The sequence below is a fragment of the Homo sapiens genome, chromosome 2, assembly GCF_000001405.40.
Source record: "Homo sapiens chromosome 2, GRCh38.p14 Primary Assembly".
NCBI lineage: Eukaryota > Metazoa > Chordata > Mammalia > Primates > Hominidae > Homo > Homo sapiens.
The window spans coordinates 181,385,915-181,410,396 of record NC_000002.12 but is presented as its reverse complement, the minus strand read 5'-3'; the positions used below and the strand labels follow the sequence as shown (position 1 = coordinate 181,410,396).

General features: G+C 36.1%; 1 long non-coding RNA gene across 1 annotated transcript in view; it reads right to left on the bottom strand.

The window, feature by feature from the left end:
• Positions 1-10,843: 10,843 nt before the first annotated feature.
• Positions 10,844-24,482, bottom strand: part of LINC01934 (long intergenic non-protein coding RNA 1934) — a 275,717-nt gene continuing 262,078 nt past the window's right edge. The window contains exon 5 of the long non-coding RNA NR_130784.1: positions 10,844-12,018. This is a non-coding gene — a long non-coding RNA (long intergenic non-protein coding RNA 1934). The remainder of the gene's footprint in view (positions 12,019-24,482) is intronic.

The following is a 24,482-nucleotide window of genomic DNA, read 5'->3' as shown; positions in this document are numbered from 1 at the left end:
CCTAACAGAAAGTCTAGTGTTAGACAGAAGAGACCCTTATCCACAGTCACAGGAGGAAAGTGTGTTTGGGTATGCAGGGAAATCCGAATACAACAATGAGATTATTCTGCTTTGATAGCTTCTCTTTTCCATGTGAAGCTAAAAGCAATGTCACCTGATGAAAGTGAAAATGAGTGATGGGTTTGAAGATTTAAGAATGAAAGGCTGGCAGCGGTGGTTCATGCCTCTAATCCCAGCACTTTGGGAGGCCGAGGCGGGCGGATCACGAAGCCAGGAGATAGGGACCATCCTGGCTAACATGGTGAAACCCCGTCTCTACTAAAAATGCAAAAAAATTAGCTGGGCGTAGTGGTGGGCACCTGTAGTCCCAGCAACTCGGGAGGCTGAGGCAGGAGAATGGCGTGAACCTGGGAGGCAGAGGTTGCGGTGAGCCGAGATCTCGCCACTGCACTCCAGCCTGGGCGACAGAGAAAGACTCCGTCTCAAAAAAAAAAAAAAAAAAAAAAAAGAGAAACTTGTAAATATTTTTGGGGAAAAGAATTCTGAGAACCTAGTTAAGTTTTAAAATCATGCGTTTAGACTGACACCAATCTGCAAGGTTGCATGAAATTTCCACAGAGGCACAGGAGAAGTATGGGTATTATTTCAGAAAAGGTGAAAAATTAGATTGAGCCAAGGCTGGGGTTTTCCAAGTACTCAGACTAAAGGACAATAGGAAAAAAAGAGTCAAGGAATTATACAGTAAATATTTGAAATGATGGAACGTAAAATTTAGTATGCATAGGGAAACTAGTGGTAGGGGGAGAAATATAAATTCAAGGGACTCAAATGTCCCTGAAAGGCTGAAGACAGATGTGGTGGGGATAATAGTGGAAACTGATGACCAGGGAGTTGAATGTCTGATTTAATATTTCAGTATAGTTTTGAATACTTACAAAACCCAGGATGAACCCAGATGGTGGGCCGCTGATGTGGAGAAAATAGAAAGTCGTTGGATATAAGGCTTGATGAGTGACCTCATGCGGAGGTTGCCATACCTCAAGTGATGTCTTCTTTGCATACCCTGAGTCCAATTCTTTTTCAGTGCATTTTATTTGTAATTAATGTCTTATAAGCCAGTTAACATATTGCAGCATACCACAATATACATAGTAATTTAAATACGAGAAGGTATTCTTTAGTCTACAATTCAGTTCCAGTTTTTTTTTTTTGAGTCATCTGAATCCTTTATTTAAACATATTAACTTGAAAAAATATATTTTCAAAAACAGAAAACAGGTGGGCTTTTTAAACCAGGCTGCCCAGAGAAGTTCCTCATTTGGTTTTCTAATTATAAAGCACAGAAGGAAGGTTTGGATTGAAGCTTTAATTTACCAGAGCTATACAGGATTCGTTTTCTACATGCAATCCAGTATTTGGCAGTTGTTAAATATTTGCTTTAACCATGAATTTATTTTGAGTACAACACAATTATACCTACTATCTCTGCATGGCTCTTTTAAGAATTGGCATACATTCATAATATTTAACTAGAACAATGAATGATTTAAAAATAGAAAATGCACAATTACTGTACTCCCTTGGAAACACATAAGCTTTGACAGAAAGTGGAATAAAAGTTGTTGTGTAAAGAGCTTTAACACAATTTTTTAAAAGCCTTTTATTTTTATTTGCTTTAAATGTATTAACTATTCAGTGGGATCATTCGAATACACACTAAAACTTCAATGTGTGTCAGGCCTGTGATAATGAGCAATTAACTGTTTTCCCCTTGCAATTATAACAATCTATTATACACATAATGATAACATCGATTCACACATCTTTTCAGTTTAAACACATACACTATATTTTATATATATGCACACACATATATGCATTGTGTGTATATGTGTATATTTACACGTATGTATGTATCTACTTAAATCAATCTATCTATTTATATACTTATGCTGCTCTTGGTATATGAAAGTGACATTATCAGCCTTTGTTGAAAAGTTCTGTACGTTATATTAAATTGGAAGCATTCTCTGGCTCATTTTCTTTTGTGGCTAATGAGTAACTTGGGTGATGGCAATAAGGATACAGTATATGGTGAGTTTCTGGCTGAAAATAAAGATACAGTGTGTTTTGGTTCCAAAAGAAGTATGTTCAGTCAAATGAATATGAACTTGGTCTCATTAACTTTATGTTATAAATCAGCTGAGACAACCATTGCCATTCATGAAACATCTATTGAAGGTCCACTATGTGTCAAGCACAGAAGATGTGATGGTTAATACTGAGTGTCAGCTTGATTGGATTGAAGGATGCAAAGTATTGATCCTGGGTGTGTCTGTGAGGGTGTTGCCAAAGGAGATTAACATTTGAGTCAGTGGACTGGGAAAGGCAGACCCACCCTTAATCTGGGTGGGCACCATCTAATCAGCTGTTAGCACAGCCAAATAAAGGCAGGCAGAAGAACGTGAAAAGACTAGACTGGTTTAGTCTTCTGGCCTACATCTTTCTCCCGTGCTGGATGCTTCCTGGCCTCAAACATCAGACTCCCAGTTTCTTCAGCTTTGGGACTCAGAATTTCCTTGCTCTTCAGCTTGCAAAGACCTACTGTGGGACCTCATCTTGTGAGTGTGTGAGCCAGTGCTCCTTCCTTTGACATCACACCAGCTGTTCTGATTAAAAGCCTGCCTTATTATGTGGTTGGTTTTCATCCCTCATTGAGAAGGTAACAGATTACAAATAATTGTCTGTGCTTTACAATGACTTAAACTCTGTAATGGTCATCAAGTAATATAAACAGGAAAATAAAGACTTTCATTCTACAATCTCAAGAGCTGGGAGCTGAGTTGAGGCTGTGCACATCCTTAGAGGAGCTATGCTGTCTCTGGTGCTGCCCTTCCTGACGGGAAATGTCATTTGTAAGAGGATTACAAATGTCTATCTATATTTGGTAAAGTGAGTCATGAGTAAGGCCATCAAGATAAAGGAACTGAGTTCAGTTTGCACAAAGAAATGAAGATGTGGTGTGCAGAGAGGAAATCATGAGATTTCAAGGTTCAAGAAGGAATCTTCATTTCCTTTTAGTTTGTCAGGATGTGGCTGAAAAGGAGCCTGGGACTGTAGGAGAACCTCACGAAGCCAAGAGAAGAGATGGAAAGCAGAAGTATTAGATGTTGAAACACTATTTGGAGCATCGTGGTTAATAGCATGAGCTCTGGAACCAAACTCCCTGGCTCAAACCTGGTTCTCACTGACAAGTTGTGTGACCAGCATGTCACTTATCCTTCTTTGACTCAATCTCTTACCTGTGAATGCGAACGATGATGCTCCAAACCTCCTTGGGTTGCTAAGGATCTAATGAGTGCATATGTATGGAACACTTAGAACATGGACCACATTGTGTATCTACAATGTAAATATCAGCATCGGCAATTCTTGGGATTGCACTGAAGTGGCTTTCCCAAGTACATCTACCAGGAGTACAACAGTGGACAGGATCTAGCTTTTGTTTTCTTCGACAGTTGTGATCTGTACAGGTGTAGAGGACTAGCATCTCAGAGATAGCATTCCACAGAAATGAAGCTCACACATGGTAGTATGATAATAAGCAAAAGGTTCGATAGGATTGTGTTAGTCTAGGAGCAGAGCAGCAGACAGAAAAGGGAGGGAACTGCAAAGCAAAACAGTCTTAGCCTGGTGAAAGCCAGCGGAACAGGAGCCATAAGGTGGAAAGAAAGAAGAAACCAATGGATAGGTGAGTAGAAGAGAGAGTACATGAGATCATTCAAAAGACAGTCACCTAGACCAGAGACTAAGGTAGGGACCATATTAAATAATAGATGGGTAAATAGGTATATAGATAGACAGAAAGATACATAGGTATAAACAAAACCATCTTAATTCTTCTGAGAGTTGCTGGCAAGTGAAAAGAATCAGTTTTGGCTCCAGATGTAAATATGGGGAAAAAGAGAAATTATGTGTTGAAACTGACAGATTGCTCACTTCAAAAAGATGAAATTTGTTATATTGTAACCCAATGAGAGAGAAGTCAGTCTCTGGAGAGGTCAATTCTATTTGTTCTCAAGAAATTCACTGAGATTTGAAGGATTAGTGTAGAAAGGAGTGTTATTCATGACAGGAAGCTTTTGGTATTCTTCCTAATACCTGAGGAACAGACCAAATCTTCTTGCTTGTTCCAAGCATAAGGCTAAGACGGTAAATTGGAAAGATACGCCTAGTTATGTCTGTCACATCTTATACATTCAAGTTTAAATGGACTCGGGTGAAAAGTCTAGGCTGATGAGCTTTCACAGCTGATTTGCCATAGAAAGCATCTGCTGCTGGTGCCAAGTGAAATGCTCACATAGGATGCCGCAGGTGGAGGGCAGTTCAGGGCAAGGCATAGACATCAGCCTGAGAGGGTGGAAAGTAGTAAGCACAATGGAAAATTGCATTTTAGGTTTCTAAGTTGGCAGCTTTTTAAACAATCAAGAGTAGATAAGCATAGATGATAGAGGTATACTGTCAAGAACCTTGTCACCAAACAACAAGACACATCAAGCTTGCCTGACTCTCTTCCTGCTTCCATTGGAGCATGAGTTACTGAGATTATTTAAGTTCTAGTAAATGGTCAGGTATAGGTAAAATAATGTCATTGATACAAGTACATTCCGCAAAATAGGGCTCACAATTTAACTAAGGGTAAAAGAGAACTATAGGGTGGAGCCAGAGAAAGGTTGGCCACTGTTGAAATCACCCTCACTCTCAATTTCATGATTAAGATGGCTGATCATATCCCAAGATGTCTGGATTTTCCTCTTGAGCACTTGAGGTCAGAATTGGGTTTGGGAGTGAAGATGAATTTAAAAGAAAAGGGGTAACTGAGTGATGATGGAGATGGAGCTAGCTACTATGTGTTTAGGAAGCCTGCGTTGTCAATAAGAACAGGGAAGAAGGCAAATGGAGATCAAAACAACATACCTAAAGCAGCTTAGGATCAGATGTGATGGATCTGATCACATTGAGAGGGAAGGCAGAGGCAGGAGAATGGGAGGCCTGTTGAGGGATGGATGGTCTGATGGATTGGGAAGTCAAGAGTCTGCAGGGGGTGTGTCCTGGAGCAGCTGCAGCTAAACTCATGCCTGAAGAAAATGTGTTACGCCTACAGCATGCTTTGGGAACAGAGTCTTAAAGTTAGATTGGAAAAAGATTCAGAAAAAGGCCATCAAGAATTCCTAAGATAGCAAGGTCAAGAGGCAAAGATAAGGTCAAAAATCAAGAAGTCATCTCATTTTCACAATGATTGTCTTTTTGGATTTAAATCTGTGCTTACTGAACTAAAGAATTTCAAAAGTTAAAACTTTCAGAACTTTTAGTGGGTGTAATTTAGACTTTCTTTACTCTCTCCCCCACAAACAGTTATATAAGAAGTAACTTTAAATGCACATGCTTTAGAGCAGATTTGGATATTAATATATAGAGGAAGCAATTTGGTCAGCAGGAAACTGATTTTCTCTTTATTGGAGTATTATTATCTACATAAAACATCCCAATTCCCCTTTTTAAAGACTGCTGAAGAAAAATGGGCTACTTTGTGAAATGAGTGAAGATAATCAGAGCCTGAAAGGTAGAAGGAGAAAAGTAGAGATGGTGTGTGAGCCCCAGAAACCCATCACACAGGGCTTCTTAGTTTCCCAATTTCAGTTCACATGGGACCTGTGCAGCAGGGGGCCAGATTTGCCTAGCAGCAAAAGGAAGTAAAACACAAATGAAATATAGCAAAGTTAAAGGTATTTTATAAATGGCTCAACAACCCCCACCCCCAGCACACCCCGCTGTTTTGTCTAAATGGATGCATTGTTGGGAACTCTACCTCCCCTACATGAAGAATCTTTTTTGAGCAATACTACCACAGAAGGCACAGCACAAAGCTTGATGTCTAATTCAGTCCTCGTCCTCCAATTTTGTGATCTAAGTAATGAAACCAAGATTTCTCAAGTCAACATTTGTAATATGATTCATAAATGTTAAATTTTAATATACTTGCAAATTATCATTTTCAGTAGTTTGAGAAATCTATAGAACATATTCTAAACCCCCGTGAAATATGTTATCTTGGTAATCTGGAAAAACAAAATGTTCTGACAATAAGAAGACCACATATTGTTTGCTCCAAATGTCATCTCGACCCAACTTAAGAAAACTTTCATAAAAGGTCAATGTTAAACTGGCAAAAAAGCAAAGGATTACTAAAGCTCAATTGTATTTTAAAGACAATAATTTATTGGCTTCCTGAAGGACTTTTTCACAGAGAAAATTTATAGATGACTGGGGAATTACTGTTAATATCAATTAAATGGGTGCATAGTTGTTTTCTTCAAGCCAACAAAACCCCCACATTCACTTAACAACAGAAAAGAATGTTAGTTTCTCTGAAAGTTCCAGATGTAAGTTCAGTTCCTAGAGAGAGGAGCCTGCAGAAGATTGTTAAAGATGTACAAAAAGCTTTAAAAAGATGATCAAAATGAATATTATGAATCAGACTGTCACATTATGCTTTATTCTCATTACCATTCACTCTCTTGTTCTTTTATATTAACCTTTGTTGAAACTAGTATTTTATAACCCACAATATCTACAAATTTATGTTCCTTCTTTTCCCCAGAACTTCCATGTTCATAATGTGGGTATCTTCCATTCTGGAGAGAATTATCTATAACATTGGTTCTCAACCTATCTATATTGAAGTACCAGGTTTTTTGATGTTGTTTTATTTTTGCTGGCAATCTGTTGTGTATCAACTGTATTATATAATCAATGAAAATCTATTGCTGGCAAAAGGAAATTAATAAGAGAAAGGCATATGGATATAGTCACATATTTATTATTAAATTCAGCAGTCATTCTATCAAATTGCTATACAAATTTTTAAATGCTTAGTCCCAATGTTTATACTTATCTCCGTATAGACTAGTAACAGTTCTCAGACTGGTACTGGTCCACAGTTCACAATTTGAGGAGCATTCACTCGGGGACTTCAGATTATCCTAAGCTATCATGATTCCCTATAATACAGAGAAACACTGAGTTATGAGGATGGACTCCATGTAGTAGTTACAGCAATAAACACTCTCTTATTTATGTAGCATGTTTTCTCTTCCCAAAGTGTTTGCATATTCATACTTCTATTTATCTTCAGAACAGACTACATGGCAGGTAGAGGAAAGCTCATTATTTACCAGTAAGAAGCCAAAATGTCTTCATTATGAAAATGCATTTATTTAAGTGTACATGTTTTAGCTTACTATTTTCTACTGTTGTACTGTAAAAATCTGGAAAAAAAGACACAGCGAACTGAGTTACTGACCTTTTCATTTAATTCAAGAAACATTTACTGAGTGTTCATATATGTCATGCACTGAGCCTGGCTTCTTTGGAGAATCTGAGGTATATAAGATGTTGCTTATATTCTGATAGGATATATGAAGCATACAATCATTAAGTTTAATGCAAGGCAAATGTGATAGAGGTATTATATGAGTACCAAACCAAGTGCTATGAGAGTTGAGAAGGAGAGGTTAATTTTAGCTACAAAGAGTAGCATTTGGGTTGGGTGTTGATGCAGAGTAGTTTCCACAATTGCTGAAATGGTTTTTGATGAGGAGGTAGAATAACATGAGCAAAGGCACAGAAATATGTAAAAACAAGGGGCCTATAGAAACGAGCTCATCTTGGCTGGATTTGGGGTATGAGAGAATGATTTCTTGTCAGTAATGCTGCAAAACTAACAGTAATGCTGTTAGTTTAGGAAACTAAAGAGTCTGGGTGTTTTTCTATTCCATAGGTGTGACTACATTACTGAGTGTGGTCTCTGTGCTTTCTCAAGCTATACCTGGACTTAACACTTCTTAATCACAGGCACAGAAGGCAATCTTGGCCTCACAAAGGTTAGCCAAAAGAGATATTACAGAAGGTTCGATGAGGAAACAAAAGAGAATTCTATCACACAATATACAAAAACATGTAACAGAAGTTCTCATTTAAACACTGTATCATTTCCAGCAACTCATCAAATTGTCTTATTGTCTCTCAAGATGATTCATCTTTCTCTTAACTTTTCCTTCTCCCTGAAAAATTTTAAATCTCATTTCTTATATAATCTTTTATTGGCACATTCCTCGTCCCATTCAGTAAACAAAGAACTGTCATTAATATTGTCTTCCTTAGAATCTCTATGGAGAAAGTATAAATAACATTCAGACCTCTTTCTTTCTCTAATTTGAACGGAGACATACCGAGAAATGTTAGATAATGGCTGGCATTGAAATAGTTATGTATTGTAAAAGTGGGGGTCCAGTGGGAAGCAGAGAAAGTCACTGGAGAGTGGAGATGCAAAGGGAGAAACAAGGATGGTAGAAAACACATGGTGTTTGAGAGACATGAAGAACAACTCCTGACCATGACTCCCCACTTTTAACTCCAGCTCTAATTGCACTTTTTCTTTTTTCTTTCTTTTTTTGAGATGGAGTCTTGCTCTGTCACCCAGGATGGAGTGCAATGGTGCGATCTTGGCTCACTGCAACCTCTGCCTCCCAGGTTCAAGCGATTCTCCTGCCTCAGCCTCCCAGGTAGCTGGGATTACAGGCGTGTGTCACCACACCCAGCTAATTTTTGTATTTTTAGTAGAGGCAGGGTTTCACCATGTTCGAGGCCAGGCTGGTCTCGAACTCCTGACCTCAGGTGATCCATCCACCTTGGCTTCCCAAAGTTCTGGGATTACAGGCGTGAGCTACTGCACCCCGCCTGGACTCTTTTTTCTTAACTACTTAACTTCCTTAACTACAAAGCACTATGATTATTTATAGACTTAAGTACATTTATTTTTATTTTATTTAGTTTTAATGAGTTTTTGATCATGAAGATTCATTGCACTTCTTACCTGGATGTCAAAAAAGAGGGAAATAATAACTGTATAAATTACCTTAAAATATGCCCAAATCACAAACAGTGCAACAGAGATCAGGTATTAATGTCTCCAGAATAGTCCTGGGTGCTATTTCTCCCTCTACTCTTCATGAAGCAGAATAGGGCATATTAGTTGTAAGTGGAAAAACCTTTATTCTTGGAAGTTAAATTTCATAATAAAGAAACTGGGTGAAGGAGGAAGAAGTACTCTGGAAAATAATGGCATTGGTGTGGTAAGTGTATGTACTGCTTTGGAGCTCCCTACACTTTCTCCAGTTTTCTGAAAAATAATGATGAAGAAAACCTACTTAACAATATAATAGTTATTTTAATTCAGATATGAATTTAGAATTTAAATAAAATAAATCATTGTCTTATCAAATGAAGTAAAAAATGTAAACCTGACAGGCATATGGTAAAATGACTTTTTTTTTTTTTTTTTTTTTTTGAGAAATCATCTAGCTCTGTCACCCAGGCTATAGTGTCGTGGCGTGATCTTGGCTCACTGCAACCTCCACCTCCTGGGTCCAAGAGATTCTCATGCCTCAGCCTCCTGCATAGCTGGGATCACAGACATGTGCTACCACGCCTGGCTAGTTGTGTGTGTGTGTGTGTGTGTGTGTGTGTGTGTGTGTGTGTGTATGTTTTAGTAGAGATGGGGTTTCGCCATGTTGCCCAGGCTGGTCTCAAACTCCTGGGCTCAAGCGATCCACCCACCTTTGCCTCCCAAAGTGCCAGGATTACAGGTGCAAGCCACTGCGCCCAGCCTAAATGACACAATTTTGACCCTGCTAGTAGTCACGGGCTCTGCAGGCTGAAGTATGGGACATGCTCCGTGTACTCGGAATAGAGATTCTTCCCGCCAGCTGTACTCTTACATTCCCTGCCTTGTCACCTTTGGCAATGAAGGACACCAGTAAATACAACACCCTCAGGAAAGCATAATGAGGGCTCATGGCTGTACAATCAAGAGAAGAGACAAAGTCACAAGTGTAGGACAGAACAGGCAATAGGTTTCAGAACACTGAATTTTATGATTAAAAAGGGCCAGTCGCTAATGAAACTCAGTGATTATGACATGATTTCCCTGACTATACTTAAAGTAACACCAAGGTTACCCAAATCAAATATTTTAATAAATTCACAAAGACCAGAAAGCATTTCTAGATTCCCCAGTTGCAAGAGATCTAAAATATAACTATTATATTCGGCTCAACAGAACAGTAAAACAAAACCACTTATTGCTGGTGACATTCCAGGGAACAGTTAAAATTGCTTTATTGCCTTTGGTAATGAAAGTGGACAGGAGTGTAACAATACATAATAAGGTGAGTTTAGTTTTACGTCCTGAGAACAATCTGCTTTACCCTTCTGGTTTAATTCTTTAAACTGTTTCTGTTTTAAGTAATTACAAACGATGGCTGGCAAGTGACAGTTATAACCACCATAGCAAATGGCTTTGTTGTAGCATTGTAGCCTATCCCCAAGTACTATTACCTTGGACTTCTAGGGAATTTAGTGTAAGTGAGGATGGCATGTGAAACAAATGCCTCCTGACTTACACTGAGCTTATAAAGATCTCCCTCAAGCAAGAACAGCTTGAGCTTGTGGCTAGTGGTACTTCACAAACGGTAGTATGTATAACACTGCTGATGCTTGACTTGCTATGAGAAGATAACATACATTTTGTTTTAATAGTTCTATTTTTATTTGGAAATTAATATATAAAAATAAAAATAAATATAAAGATCACATGATATCCATGATTTCATGGATATTATTGCTTATGATGACCTCTTTTTTAAAGTCCATAACAGGAAAAACATTAAATATAGTATAAGTGGTAGGAGGTGGAAAGGCTGAAAGTTTCATGTTGGTGTGTAAGTGACCATGGTAGCCAGTCTCTAGTGGTTTTCCACTCCTGGTATTCATGCCTGTATACAGTTCCCTCCCACACTGGATAGGGCTGCTATGTAACCAATAGGATTTTGTAGAAATGGAAGAGTGTGATTCCCAAGGCTAGGGCAAAAGTCATGTGAGGCTTCTCTTTTGCTGCTTTTGATCATCTGTTCTGAGGGGAGTCAGCTGCCATGCCACGAAAAGCAGCCCTATGGAGAGGTCCATGTGGCGAGACACTCAGGCCCCCTGCCTAATCAGGCCTCAGCCTGCAAGGAACCGAGTCCTTTTGTCTGCAGCTGTGTGAATGGGCTGACTTCTTGACTGCAACCACAAAAAGCACCTGGAGCTACAACCATTCAGCTAAGCCACTCCCAAAGTTCTGAAACAAACTATGTGACATAATACATGTTTATTGTTGTTTGAAGCTGCTAAGTTTGGGAGTAATTTGTTACCCAGCAGTGGATAACTAATAATGGATAAGCAATACCATGACCGAAACTGGGAAACAAGGATAGGGAATCCCATTTACCTTTGCTCATAGGTAGCTTTGTTATTTTCTCCTCCCTTCCCTGAAATGTCTGTTACATAGGGATGAACTAAGATCTAACAAAAAATATACCTCTTGCTTCTGCTTTTTGCTGAACCTGTGTGTGGTACCTCCTATCTGGCACAGTGTTCACCATCACTTATTCCTTTTGACAATAAGAGTGTTACAGGCATTTGATGAAGGCAAAACCTCTGGAGCTAAAGGAAATCTAGTATATTTCAAGAGCAGTTTGGTCCTATAGATGAGTCTGGAGTCCTGAATTCCAAATGTTAAATGACTTGCTATTTCTCTTGTTCCCTTTCTGTTTTTTTTTTTTTTTTTTTTTTTTTCAATCCCAAAGCAGATGTCGTCTCTCAGCTCTGCCCTGATGTGCAATTTTATAGTTTTCCTGGGTCTCTAACTGGTGCTATAATAAATTCAGAGTAATTGTTACACACCTTTAACAGCTTCAAAACACATTTAAGGTATTTTCTTATTAATTAACTTTCTCCTCATATCAGCAAAAGCAGTTTGCTTTAAAAAGTTCCTTGGTAACAGTAGTCTAGTTTCTTGCCGTCACTCAGAAACTTGAGAAGATTCTTTTGATGTTGGTCTCTCAGTTTAGGATGAAACTAGTGGAAAGAAGATAGTGAAAGAGTAAGCGGAATTGAGTCCATTTTCTCTATTTACTCACCTACTCTAACTCACCATTTTATTGTTACTTCTGATTTATCTTCTTGTCATCAATGGAATTTTCTTATTATGTCTTGGCTATACATGTTGAGAATTAATTTGGCCTTGACTGTGTTTTGCTGTGTCAGCATTTCTATAATTATCTCTGCCATTAGCCATCTCCCAGATGATCACTAAAATTATATATCATGGGATTTAACTACAGACCAGACCATGATGTTTTTTAATCTTCTCTAGAATTCCTTCCAAATAATTAAGAAACTAATCATCTTAGCTCCATTTTTCCTTTGTTTCTAGTTGGGCCTGTTCTCAAGTGCCTCTCTTTGAACAGAATAGAAGATTGTTTATCTTAAACATTTCAGGCTGCTTTGCTTCCTAGAGAAGAGGAGCACAGCTTGCATTTCTCCATAGCCCCATTCGAAGAGGCAACTTGTGCCAGTCTCATTAGTAATTTTCAGGTGTACTGACACACTGATCTATTATCTGCCACATAGTACATTTAGTGGATATCTAATTTTGTGGGTACTGTAAACCCCATGGTATCATTCCTTGATTCTTGCTCAGTAATCATATTTATTAGTGCCCACATTGCAAGTAACTCAGATGAAGGCAATTCTTGGTAGATATGTAAATGAAATACACCAGGAAGTCTAACTTCCAGCTCTGGTTCAAAATCTCTAAATATGAATTGGGTGAGTCTTGTCATTCTTTAGATGCCATCTGTAAAGAAGAGGGCTTGAGGTACGTGACTTTAGCTTGATAGGCTTAGAGCCTCTGTGGTGGCGCTGGCCACTCAGTATGCCCACATATTCCCGTGGGCACATGTTCATCTGGCCACGTTTGGCTCTGTATTCCTTCTTGTTGGCTCTTTTACTTATTGTCTTCAGTCATGCCTGTTCCTCTTTCTCCCTCTAAAGTTCCAGCAGGCAAAAGGAGGCATGATAGGGATTTGCTACCTCTTGATGAGAATTATGCTCTTCTAGCTTCCTCAGAGAGTAGACTTGTAAAAGATCTTCCAGGAAAGTAGTTGCCCAGCCAACTCTTATTTCCATATCATGTCTTTCTGGAATATTTTTTTCTTAATTGTTTGTTTATTTATTGCTTCTAGGTCTTCCCCGCCATAATGTACTCCCCATGAAAAGAGTCATCTGTGTGCCTTGCTCCCTGTTTCAGCCTGAGAACCTAGACTTTGTCAGACAAAATAATATTTGTTGTTGTTTATATCAAGTTATACGCTCAATGTACTAAATTAATTGAAGCAAAGTCTTAAGAAAATCTGGCTTTTGAGGAAAGTATGCCCCAGAGACATCAGAACTATTTAGAAATAGCAGCAGTTCAGAAAACACTTAATGTAGTCACATTAAATTGTCCCCGGTGTGATATGAGGCAGAAAATCAGAAAGAAAGAAACAATTCCTAGACAGGAGTGTCTAGTAAACCTCTAAATAGTTCACAGCTGTGTGGCATGTGGTGCAACTGGATAAACAAACTTAACAAGCACATTTGGGTTGGAGAATTCTTCTGGCTATAATTGTACTTTACATCACTTTCTGTGGTCAGGCACAAGGTAAAAATTTTAGGGGTTTTATTCTTAATGACCATGCCATCTTAGGTTATGGAAATTCCTCATTAATTTGGGTTCCGTAAATATGGCCTTCATATCTAAAACTGTTTTGTTTTTAAAGTAGAAGCTGTTTTTGAGAAGAATATTAAATGAAAGAGAGGGAATATAAATGAAATTTTAAAAAAATCAGAATTCATGACTTAAGGACTATTTCTACATTGTAATTAGTAATTTAACGGACTCTTTTTCAATTTCAGTAATTAATTATGCCTCTGAATTCAACTGGTATTTTGAAACCACAATTGCTTATTTATTAACTAAAAAGTCGTTTGAGGCCATTACGCAAGGGAATACAAATTTAAAAGATTAAAAGGATTGACAAAAGCTCAATTATTATACCCCTTTTACATAAACCTAAAATTTAAGGTATGACTCACCAAAAGACTATGTTTCAGTGAAGCTTTGCTTTTCTATATGAAAAATTATCCTGAAATACTTATAAAATGAATGTTAAAGTGAAATTGTTTTGAGGCTTGCTAGTTGATCTAAAATATGTCACAAATTATGACTTTGCTATTGTATATGCTTAGCAAATTCTCTTGATACAAGCTGAGAAGACATGCAAACCACAATTTTATAAAAGAGGAAACTGAGACAACAAAGATTAAGTAATTTTCTCAAGATCACATGACCAGTAGCTGGAGGAGTTGGAAATTAGATACAGATCCAGCGACCTCAGAGCCTGGGTTATTGCTTGCCCCATGGAGTCTTTTTGGGTCACTTTTGGCAAATCCAAAAGTGATCATCTAGAACTTCTCTGGACTCCTTCTCATGCAAATCTTCCTGATACCTGACACAGTGTGGCACAATGTGCATCAGATGGATAAGCAAAGGAATTGTTACGCTTCTCAAAGCCTATCCTGACTCAGGGTAGGTCAGGCAAGAAAAACAATTTATCTGTCATGTGTAGACACTATTTCAAGTGGCCCATAAATGGCTCTAGGACATTGAAAGAGGGATCTAAATGAAAAAAAACATTACTCTTTGTGTGACAAAAAAGATAAGAAATATTCAATGGTGGAATCACACTGAAGAATCTCTATCCCCCAAGATCCAATTAAAGTCCCACCTCCTCAACAAAGCCTTTCCTGTTAGACTATGTCATTGTTTTCTTCTCTAGTTTCAAATTATATTTATGGTCTGTTAGTGTTCATTTGTAACGTTTTGTCATACATAAGCTTGTTTAACTTTTTCAAGTGTTTATGAATTGTCTGCTGAAAAAACCAAGCTTCTTGAGGAACGTACTCTGTCTTATCTTCCTCTTTATCATCCTAGTATTTGCTTAGTGGTTGGTTTATTGAAAACCACCCAAAGGAAGTTTGAATTGAACTGAAATTATAAAATAATACGAGTAGTAAATGATTATGAAAAGCTTTGTAGGGACCGTCATGGTAGAGTTCATGAGCTATACTGTTTCCCTTTATGAGTACAACTGAAGAAGAACCAAAGTTGGAGCCTGTATCAGTCAAGGTCAGGGCAGGAAACATAAGGCTTTCTCACAGAAGTGATGGGAGACATTTTAATGAAGAGAACATTTACGGAGGGTGGCAGGATTGTGGAAACCAGCAAAGAATGGTGAAGCAGCTCAGGGTAGCAACTGTGAAAAGCTTTTACCCCCTCAAGACCTGCAGGGGTGAAGGTATGGCAATGTTACAGCCAGACGACAGTTAGGTAGCAGGAAATGGACCAACTAACAGAGCTAAGATTGTTCAATGTACTCAATATCAAAACTTGCCAGCAGTGGTAGTAGGGTTAGAGACACACATCTATCTGTTTGTCTCTCTGTCTGTGTGTCTCTCTCCACTTCTGCTCTCTGATATCTACCTGGTCCCTGTCATTGAATGAAACCAACTGGAAGTAAAAGTGCAAGGAAGATCAGATGGTGCAGTCTATATAAGTCCTCCTGCTGGGTATAGAGCAATGTGGTGATGCAATTACATAATTTGTTCCACATACAGCTAAGGTTTTTTACATAATTTGTTCCACATACAGCTAAGGTTTTTCTGAAAATCACCTTATATTATTTTATTGATTTTACATTTTATTAAGTTGCTATATTTTAAACCATCAGTCTAACAATAGTAAAAATTAGAAGTTAATCTTATTTTAATATATGATTATTAATATTTGCATTTACTTCTTAGAAATCACAACTACATATTTAGATTTTAAAAAATATATGGGAAAATACATAAAATATTCTCAAGAAAAAAATGCTGTTTATGAGACATGTAGAAGTGTAATAGTACACTCATGGGCAGACTTAATAGCATTGTTAACACCCCCAAACTAGCAGGAAACCACAATAACTTTGAGAAAGAGGCTGAAGACACATACCCCCTGCTATAAATAAAAAAATAAATTTTTGAAATGCTCCACAGGATCAATGGTCCTTAACTTTTTTTTTTTTTTTTTTTTTAGCACTCCTTGTTCACATGCTAAACCAGGTACCGATTTTGACATCATAGATGCAGTGCAGATGTAACCACACTGTGCCTCCCCAAAAGCCAAATTTCCCACTTTAATTTTTTTTTTGTTTTTTTTTTTTGAGACAGAGCCTCGCTCTGTTGCCCAGGCTGGAGTGCAGTGGCGTGATCTCGGCTCGCTGCAAGCTCTGCCGCCCAGGTTCACGCCATTCTCCTACCTCAGCCGCCCTAGTAGCTGGGACTGCAGGCGTCCGCCACAATACCTGGCTAATTTTTTTGTATTTTTAGTAGAGACGGGGTTTCATCCTGTTAGCCAGGATGGTCTCGATCTCCTGACCTCGTGATCCGCCTGCCTCGGCCTCCCAAAGTGCTGGGATTACAGGTGTGAGCCACCGTGCCCAGCCCCATTTTAATTTTCTATTACAAGAATTTAACCATTTTTACTCTCATGTAAAGATTGGCTACAATGATGTTAACTTTCACTTTCATTTTGGTATCTGATTAGCTGGTATAGTGCCCTTTATTTGAATAAAGAAGACTGGAGGAGGAGGAGACTTGGGAAAAATATTCAAGGGCTCAGTTTTGACCAGTTGAAACAGAGACATGTTCAACCTTCCAGTGGGTAATAGAGTTTAAGGCTCACAGGAGAGATGTGGCCTGGAGATATAAATAGGAAGTTGTTGCTATGGACATGAGCCTGAATGAGATCATCAGGGAGGAAGTAGGTTGGGCACTGATTATTGAAAAGCTCTTCATGAATTACAAACCACGTTCAGAGGGGGGCTTTTAAGATATTAAAATGTACTTTTATACTGTAATGATTTAAAAAAGTGATAGTGAATTACGGGAGAGATCCATGATAAAGCATCCAGAAAGAGACTCAAGTATATATATGAATCAATATATAATTTTAATATTTCTAACTGGTAGAGGAGGTATAAGCTTATTCAACAGATAATGTCTGTTTTCTTTGGATACTACTATTTTTAAAACTAGTTGTTATTTTGATTACTTCAACAAATGAAGCTGAACAGTTAAAAGCCTGAAAAATGTTAGATCTTATATTTAATTTATATAGAATTTATTTTGATATAATTTATAAAGAACAAAGTTAGCATACAAGTAAAAATTATTTTTATAATCCTGGGATGAGGAACACATCATAAGCATGGTATATAATATAGGAACCATATTAAAAAGTTTATAAACAATAAATAATGCAATAAAACAAAGTGAAAATAAAATGGCACACCAGGGGAAATATTTTCAACAAAACTGAGAAACTGTTGTTTCCTTAGTGTAATATTTGAAGATGTTTTATAAACTGTTATTAAGCAGGTGAATACCCACAGGAGCATACTGATTATGTCAAATAATTTTTTTAATCATGAAAAAATATAAGTGGCAAATAACTTGTGAAACAATGTTTGGTATATTTAATTATAAAAAGAAACAACAGTGAAATACAATTTTTCCTATCATTAGACAGGGAAAGATATAAATCAAATCTTATACTATTACTGAAGTTCACTTTGGTGATATAAATTAAAAGCCCTTATACTGGCTTGAGCAGATATTGTTTTGCGAAGATGGTAGCAATATATAACCCATGCCACATGTTTTTCTTACAACGTGACATCAACACTCCTCCATTGAGAGATGGGATCCATGTCCCCTCCCTTTGAACCTAGGTGACCTTTATAACTGCTTCTACTCATAGAATGTAGCAGAAGTCTAAGTAATAAAACGCAATATAGCTTCATCTACTGTGCACATACATAGCCCCTCTCTCTCTGTCTATTTGCTCTTGATGCCCAGCCATCTTGTGAAGAAGTTTGGCCTCCAACTGATGGCTAGGATTAAACTCTAGACATACGAGAGTGACCCTTCAGATAATTCTAGCCCCTTGACTTCTAGTCCTCTCGTTGCAATCCAGATATCACGAAACAGTGTTCCTGCTGAAAAATTGCAAAATGGTGTTTTGTTCTTCCACTCTTCCTACATTCCCCTTCCTATTACTGAACAAATTAGCAAATGCCCTTCTTGTTCTTAAGGGATGAATATAGACATAGGAATAGTAATTTACTTGAATGAATGTGCATAGACACATACTATCCTGAAAATGAATGAGTCATATTATTACACATTGAAAAGGTCATGGATAATATTATTATGCCTGTTTTTACACATGGGGAAAAGCATCCTAGAAAGTCTAAATGGATTACCCAGTAACCATCGGAAATTATCTGAGAACAAAACTAGATATACCCCAAAATTTATGATCTTTGCACTGTGCAGAGTAGCATCGGGAAACATTTCAAATTTCTATTGCACTATACTAGGTACTAGGTAAAGAGGATTGTATAGTCATATTTCCCTAGACATTTTAGTCTTTGTAAATTAATACTCATTTACTTATGAAGGGCAAAAAATTTGATATGAAGATAACACTGAATTTCACAAGTAGATTATTAGTGAAATGATATGATAAATAAATGAAGCTAAAAGGATTTACTTTAAATCTGAATGTTTTATTTATGTACCAAGATAATTCATTTATTTAGATAACTATATATTTTTAATACACTGTACTTATTTTCAACAGTCTAAAGTATAACCAGAAGGGGTTTATATTTTACACCTTAATTGTGTAGGACCTGTCCAAGGTATAATTGCGAATTCAGTAAAACTTATTTTCAGAACTCACTCATATTACCTGGCCTTCAAATTTCATTACCTGGACACATGGACATGTGTCTCTTTTCCTTATAGAAAGGTTAATTCTGGCCACAAAGCTATGTTACTTAAAGTAAATTGCCTAGCAATTCTATCTCATTGGCCCAGAAGTAATTAACATTTTTGACAATCACAATTTTAAATGAGCTACCCTGTCTTACAGTGATTGACTGATTTTTCATCTTGTTGTTTCAGAATGCTGCATAAAAATAAGTTACTAAGACTTTTTATAAACATTTTGGTACAATTTGCAAAATATCTTAAACCTTTAATTTAGGTTACGTAGAAATGGGCCATTGATTAGGCAAATGTCTAAGAAACTATCAGCTGTAGCACACATTCTATGAAGGGAAGAATACTGAAGGTCAGAGAATATCATTACCTGAGAGTCAAAACCTAAAAAGCAATAGAGCCAGAATTAGAAATCAGGTTTCCTAAACCTTAGTTGACTTCTTTTTTCCCACTGCTATATTCCACTGTATGGTTATGCTGCAGCTGCCTAGACAGGCCAAAGAAAATGAGCATCTACTTTTAGTCCTCTAGGACAGGTTACCTGCTGTCTGTGAAATACTCAGAACCTAGTGGTTGCTGGATTCTATATAATTAACAAGACAGTTCTAAATGTGGGCTAAGGATGTGTCTCATGCTATATAGATTGCATCCAAAGCTGTTGTTTACGTAATTGAGTGGTTATGGCAATCTTCCTAAATCATTGCAAATTATTAAGCAGCATGTGGCACAACTGGGACCAGGAAGGCTCAGGTGTAACAAATGATTGTCCTTTGAGAGAGACATTTCTTCACAATAGAAAAGTAATTCATTAGTGAAATACAAGAATCTCCAACTGGAGCAATTAAGCATATTGAAAAATGTTATATAAATATAGTCATTTGCTTCCTGTAAGAATTAAAGCTGAAACCAAAGATCAGTTTCCCAATATCCAAAGGATGCAAATTAACTTAAAATAGAATTTTTCTTTGACACATTATTTATATTTTTATTAAAATAGCATTTTTTTCTGTAGGGAATTTTAAGTTTCCATTTTAAATGTATTTATTTAATTCAGAGTTTTATTCTTACATAAAATATATAAGAAAAGCAGCAGAACTCAAAGAAAAACTTAGGAGGCAGGATATTATTGGTGTTTTAGATAAATATGATAGAAAATAAGAAGTTAAAAATCCAGGTAATTCATAAAACAGAAGAATTTTAACAAATAAACATAGCACCAGGAATAAGTTTGTAGTTACTGCACCAAAGATAATAAGCCGAAGACTAGAATATCTTGAATTTGAGTCTACCTGGCCCTAGAGTTACCTTGATGCCTCATACCTTAAATAAATCTGATGGCAATTTTCTTTTTCTTTCTTTTCCTTTTCTTAAAACTCACATACATTGTGTCTGTCATCTTCTTTTAGATTATAAACACATTTGTGAAGCTTTTATCCCTTTTGGGCACATATTAATTTGTTTTTAATACTGTTTTTCTGAGTAATCATTATAAATGAATATAGTAAAACTTCAAGCTACTTTTTTTGGTTTATTGTTTTCTGGGTTTTTTTTATATTAGTGAGTAGATTTCATTGAAAAACATTTTTGTTAACATTTGTTGGGCAAGGTTTGAGGAAACAGTACAATTGAAGTGGATCGCAAAATGAATATTAATTTAAGTCTCCAAAAGAAGCTGGACTAGACAAAAAGTTTGCATATTTTATGCCCATATTAAAAAAAAAAAACCTAACTCTAACATCTGTGAGTCATGATTAGGCATTCAATTAAGGCAAATAAATAAGTCAAACTTTTGCATGGATTCCATTAATCACATTTGCTATTACATCAGTTAAATTGAGGTTATTTATTTCACCATTTCATAAATAATATCTCATCGTGGACTTGTTTGTGGGTAAAAATAGGACATTGCATTTACATCTTTCTGAAGAAACAGATGCAGGAAGGGGTACATGCCTAGGAGGCTCTCTGCTCATCACTTACACTTAATGCATTGCGCCAGGAGAAAGCAGTTGTTTTGAAATGTATCAATCTTCTTTTTAATTTCAGTATAGTTTTTTTGTGGAAAATACTATAGAGTTGAGAAAAATTAATTATGGTACAACTCTTAGGAAGATTTTTGAAAACTGGGCAACTTAATTTAGTACATAATGTAAAATTGCCATAAAATGCAATGACATAACTCATATATGAATACAGAATAAGAACAAGTCAAAGATTTATTCAACTCACTAATGAGGGAACAACCAGGATGATAAAATTGCTTCAAAGAGTATTTGGGGAACTGAATGCTTATAGAAAATGATGAAAGAAAGTCAGAATAAAATTGCTGGATTAAATACACAACAGCATAATAATCTATAGTCAATAAAACAATAATATTTGTGTTTTAATTTTTTTTTTTTTAGCCAAAAAGTGTTCATTTGCATCTCTTCAAAATAAAAATCTACAAAGTAAGATGAAACTTCACAGTCTAGGCTTTAATTAGGAGTTAATAATCAAACAACCAAAGTTCCATTCCCCTAGATGATTAATCCGTGAGTGATCTCCTGGACGATATTCCAGTGTGACATTGAAAGGACATGCAGACTTCTTTTTGCCTTAGTCCTAAGTTTTTGATAATTTTTCCTAACACAATATACAGAATGATGACATTATATGTCTGAAATAGTCTATAAAGATGATGTTTGTCAAAAGAAACAGACATACAAATTCATTGGTTGAGTTATATGTAGTAGCCACTGAGCCATTAATTTCTGTTTTCAAAAAGATAAACCTATATAAAATTATTCTAAGGAAATTCAAGCAAAGAATCTTACTTTCTGGTTGGAGGTAAAAGTGTATTTAAAGGTTTTGAATCATAAAAAAAAATCTTAGTATGTTCAGAAAATACAGAGATTTAATGTGAGTAGGGTTTAAAGAGTGCATGTATGATTCTAGGAAATTAGGCTAGAAATGTAAAGTTTTGCAGGTCCTAAAAAGAAATGTGGGCTGTTTTGTAAAGGTAATGGGAGCCCACGGAGGTTCTCAAAGCGGGAAGGACATCATCAGCCTTGTTTTCAGGAAGATTCAAGTTCTTTTCACACACAACATCATGTCTTGCCTTTTTAAAATTTATTTTCTCTTCTAGCTTATCTGTGGTATTAATAACTTGATTTTATTTGTATAAAATGTTGGTGTGTTGAGAGCTGGGAGAAGGTGCAATAAGATTTTCCTCTGTACACAGTCTACTTAAAGGCTTAATATGGTTGAAAAAGAAGTTGAAAACATCTCTTCTTTGACCATGTAGCACCATTCCTTATCAATAACTATAACTATGACCATTAGGGTGGGGTGGGTGGATGGAGATAATGAGAGAATTTTTAAAATTAATATATAATTCACATGATACAATTCACTATTTTAAAGTGTACAATTCAGTTGTTATTCATATATTCACAAGACTGTGCACCTATTATCATTATCTATTTCTAAAATATTTTTATCAGCTCAGTAAGAAACCCCAAACCTATCAGCGGTCCCTTCCCACTTCCCCCCTCCAGTGCCTGGCAACCATTGATTAATTTTCTGTCTCTATATAGATTTGCCATTTTGAGATGTGTTATACACATGGAATAATATGTGGCCTTTTGCATCTGGTTTCTTTCACTTAGCATAATGTTTTGAAGGTTCACCTACACTATAACATAAGTCAGTACTTTCTTCATTCTTATGGGTGAATAATATTTCATTGTGTGAATATGTCACATTTTGCATAAGAATTCATTAGGTTATGAACATTTAGGTTGCTTCCATCATTTGACTATTATAAACAGAGTTGCTATAAACATTTGTGTACATGTTTTTATAAGGATATATGTTTTCAATTTTCTTAGAATGGAATTCCTGGGTCAATTGATAATTTCATGTTTAACTTAACAATCAAACTGTTTTCCAAAGTGGCTGAATAATTTTACATTCCCACCAGCTAAAGTATGAGGGTTCTAGTTTATCCACGTCTTTGACATTACTTGTTATTGCCCTACTTCCTGATGACCACCCTGCCAGTGGATGTGAAATGTTATCTCATAGTTTTGATTTGTTTTTCCCTGAAAGCTAATGATGTTGAGCTTCTTTTACTGTGCTTCTTAGCCATTTGCAGATCTCTGGAGAAACGTCTATTCAAATCTTTTCCCTTTTTTTATTAGTGTGGTTTTGTTTCTTTTATTTAAATAGTTGCATGTAATAGTTTTATATACTGGATGCTAGAATATATCTGGTAGATGATTTGCAAATATTTCTCCCATTCTGTGAATTGCCTTTTCATTTTTTTGACAGTGTACGTAAAACACGAACATTTTCATTGTTGATGAAGTCCAATTTATCTATTTATTCTTTATAAAGTTGCTTGTGCTTTACTTGTCATTCATAAGAAAACATTGCCTAATTCAAGGTCATTAAGATATACACCTATGTTTAATTCCAAGAGTCATAGTTTTAGCTCTTATAGTTAGCCATTAATATGATTCATTTTGAGTTAATTTTTTTTTTTTACTAGGAAATGAAGAAAGGGTCCAATTTCTATCATTTGCAACTGGATATTCAGTTGTCGCAGCCAAATTTCTTGAAAGACTATCCTTTCTGCATTAAGTTGTCATGGCATCCATGTAAAAAATCAACTGACTATACATATCTGGCTTTTATTTTGATTCTACTGATGTATGTATGTATATCTTCATACCAGTCCCATATAATCTTGATTAATGTAGTTTTAGGATAAACTTTGCAACTGGGACATGTGTGACCTCTAGCTTAGTTCTTTTTTCAAAATTGTTTTAGCTATTCTGCTTCCTTTATATTTTCATTGGAATTTTAGCGTCAGCCTGTCAAGTTCTGGAAAAAAGGCAGCAGGGATTTTGACGGGTTATATTGAATCTGTAGATCACTTTGAAGAGTAGTGCCACCTTAACAATATTAGGTCTTCCAATCCATAAATATGAAAAATCTATTTTATTTAAGTCTTTTAAAATTTCATTCAGTGATGTTTTATAGTTTTCAGTGTGTAAGCCTTGTTTTTAAAGTATTAAATATTTTATTTTTTTGACGCTATTGTAAACGGAATTGGTTTTTGAGTTTCATTTTCATATTGTTTATTGCTAGTGTATAGATATATAACTGGTTATTGTATATTAATCTCGTATTTTGTCATCTTGCCAACTTGTTTATTATCTTTAATGGTTTTTTCAGTGGATGAATTTTGGTTTTATATGCACAAGATCATGTCATCTGCAAATAAGAGGGTTTTGCTTCCTTTCCAATATGGATGCTTTTTATTTCTTATTCTTACCTAATTGCCCTGGCTATAATGTCCCAGTACAATATTGAATAGAAGTGGTAAGAACAGATATTCTTATCTTGTTTCTGATTTTAGGAGGAAACCTTTCTGTCTTTTATTATTAAGTATGATGTTAGGTGTGGGTTTTTAAATAAATAGATATACTTCATCAGATTGAGGAAGTTCTCCTTTACTTTTTAGTTGGTTCAGTGTTTTATCAGAAAAGAATGTTGGATTTTGTCAAAATGCTTTTTCTGTGTTTATTGAGGTAATCATGAGGTTTTGCCTTTTATTC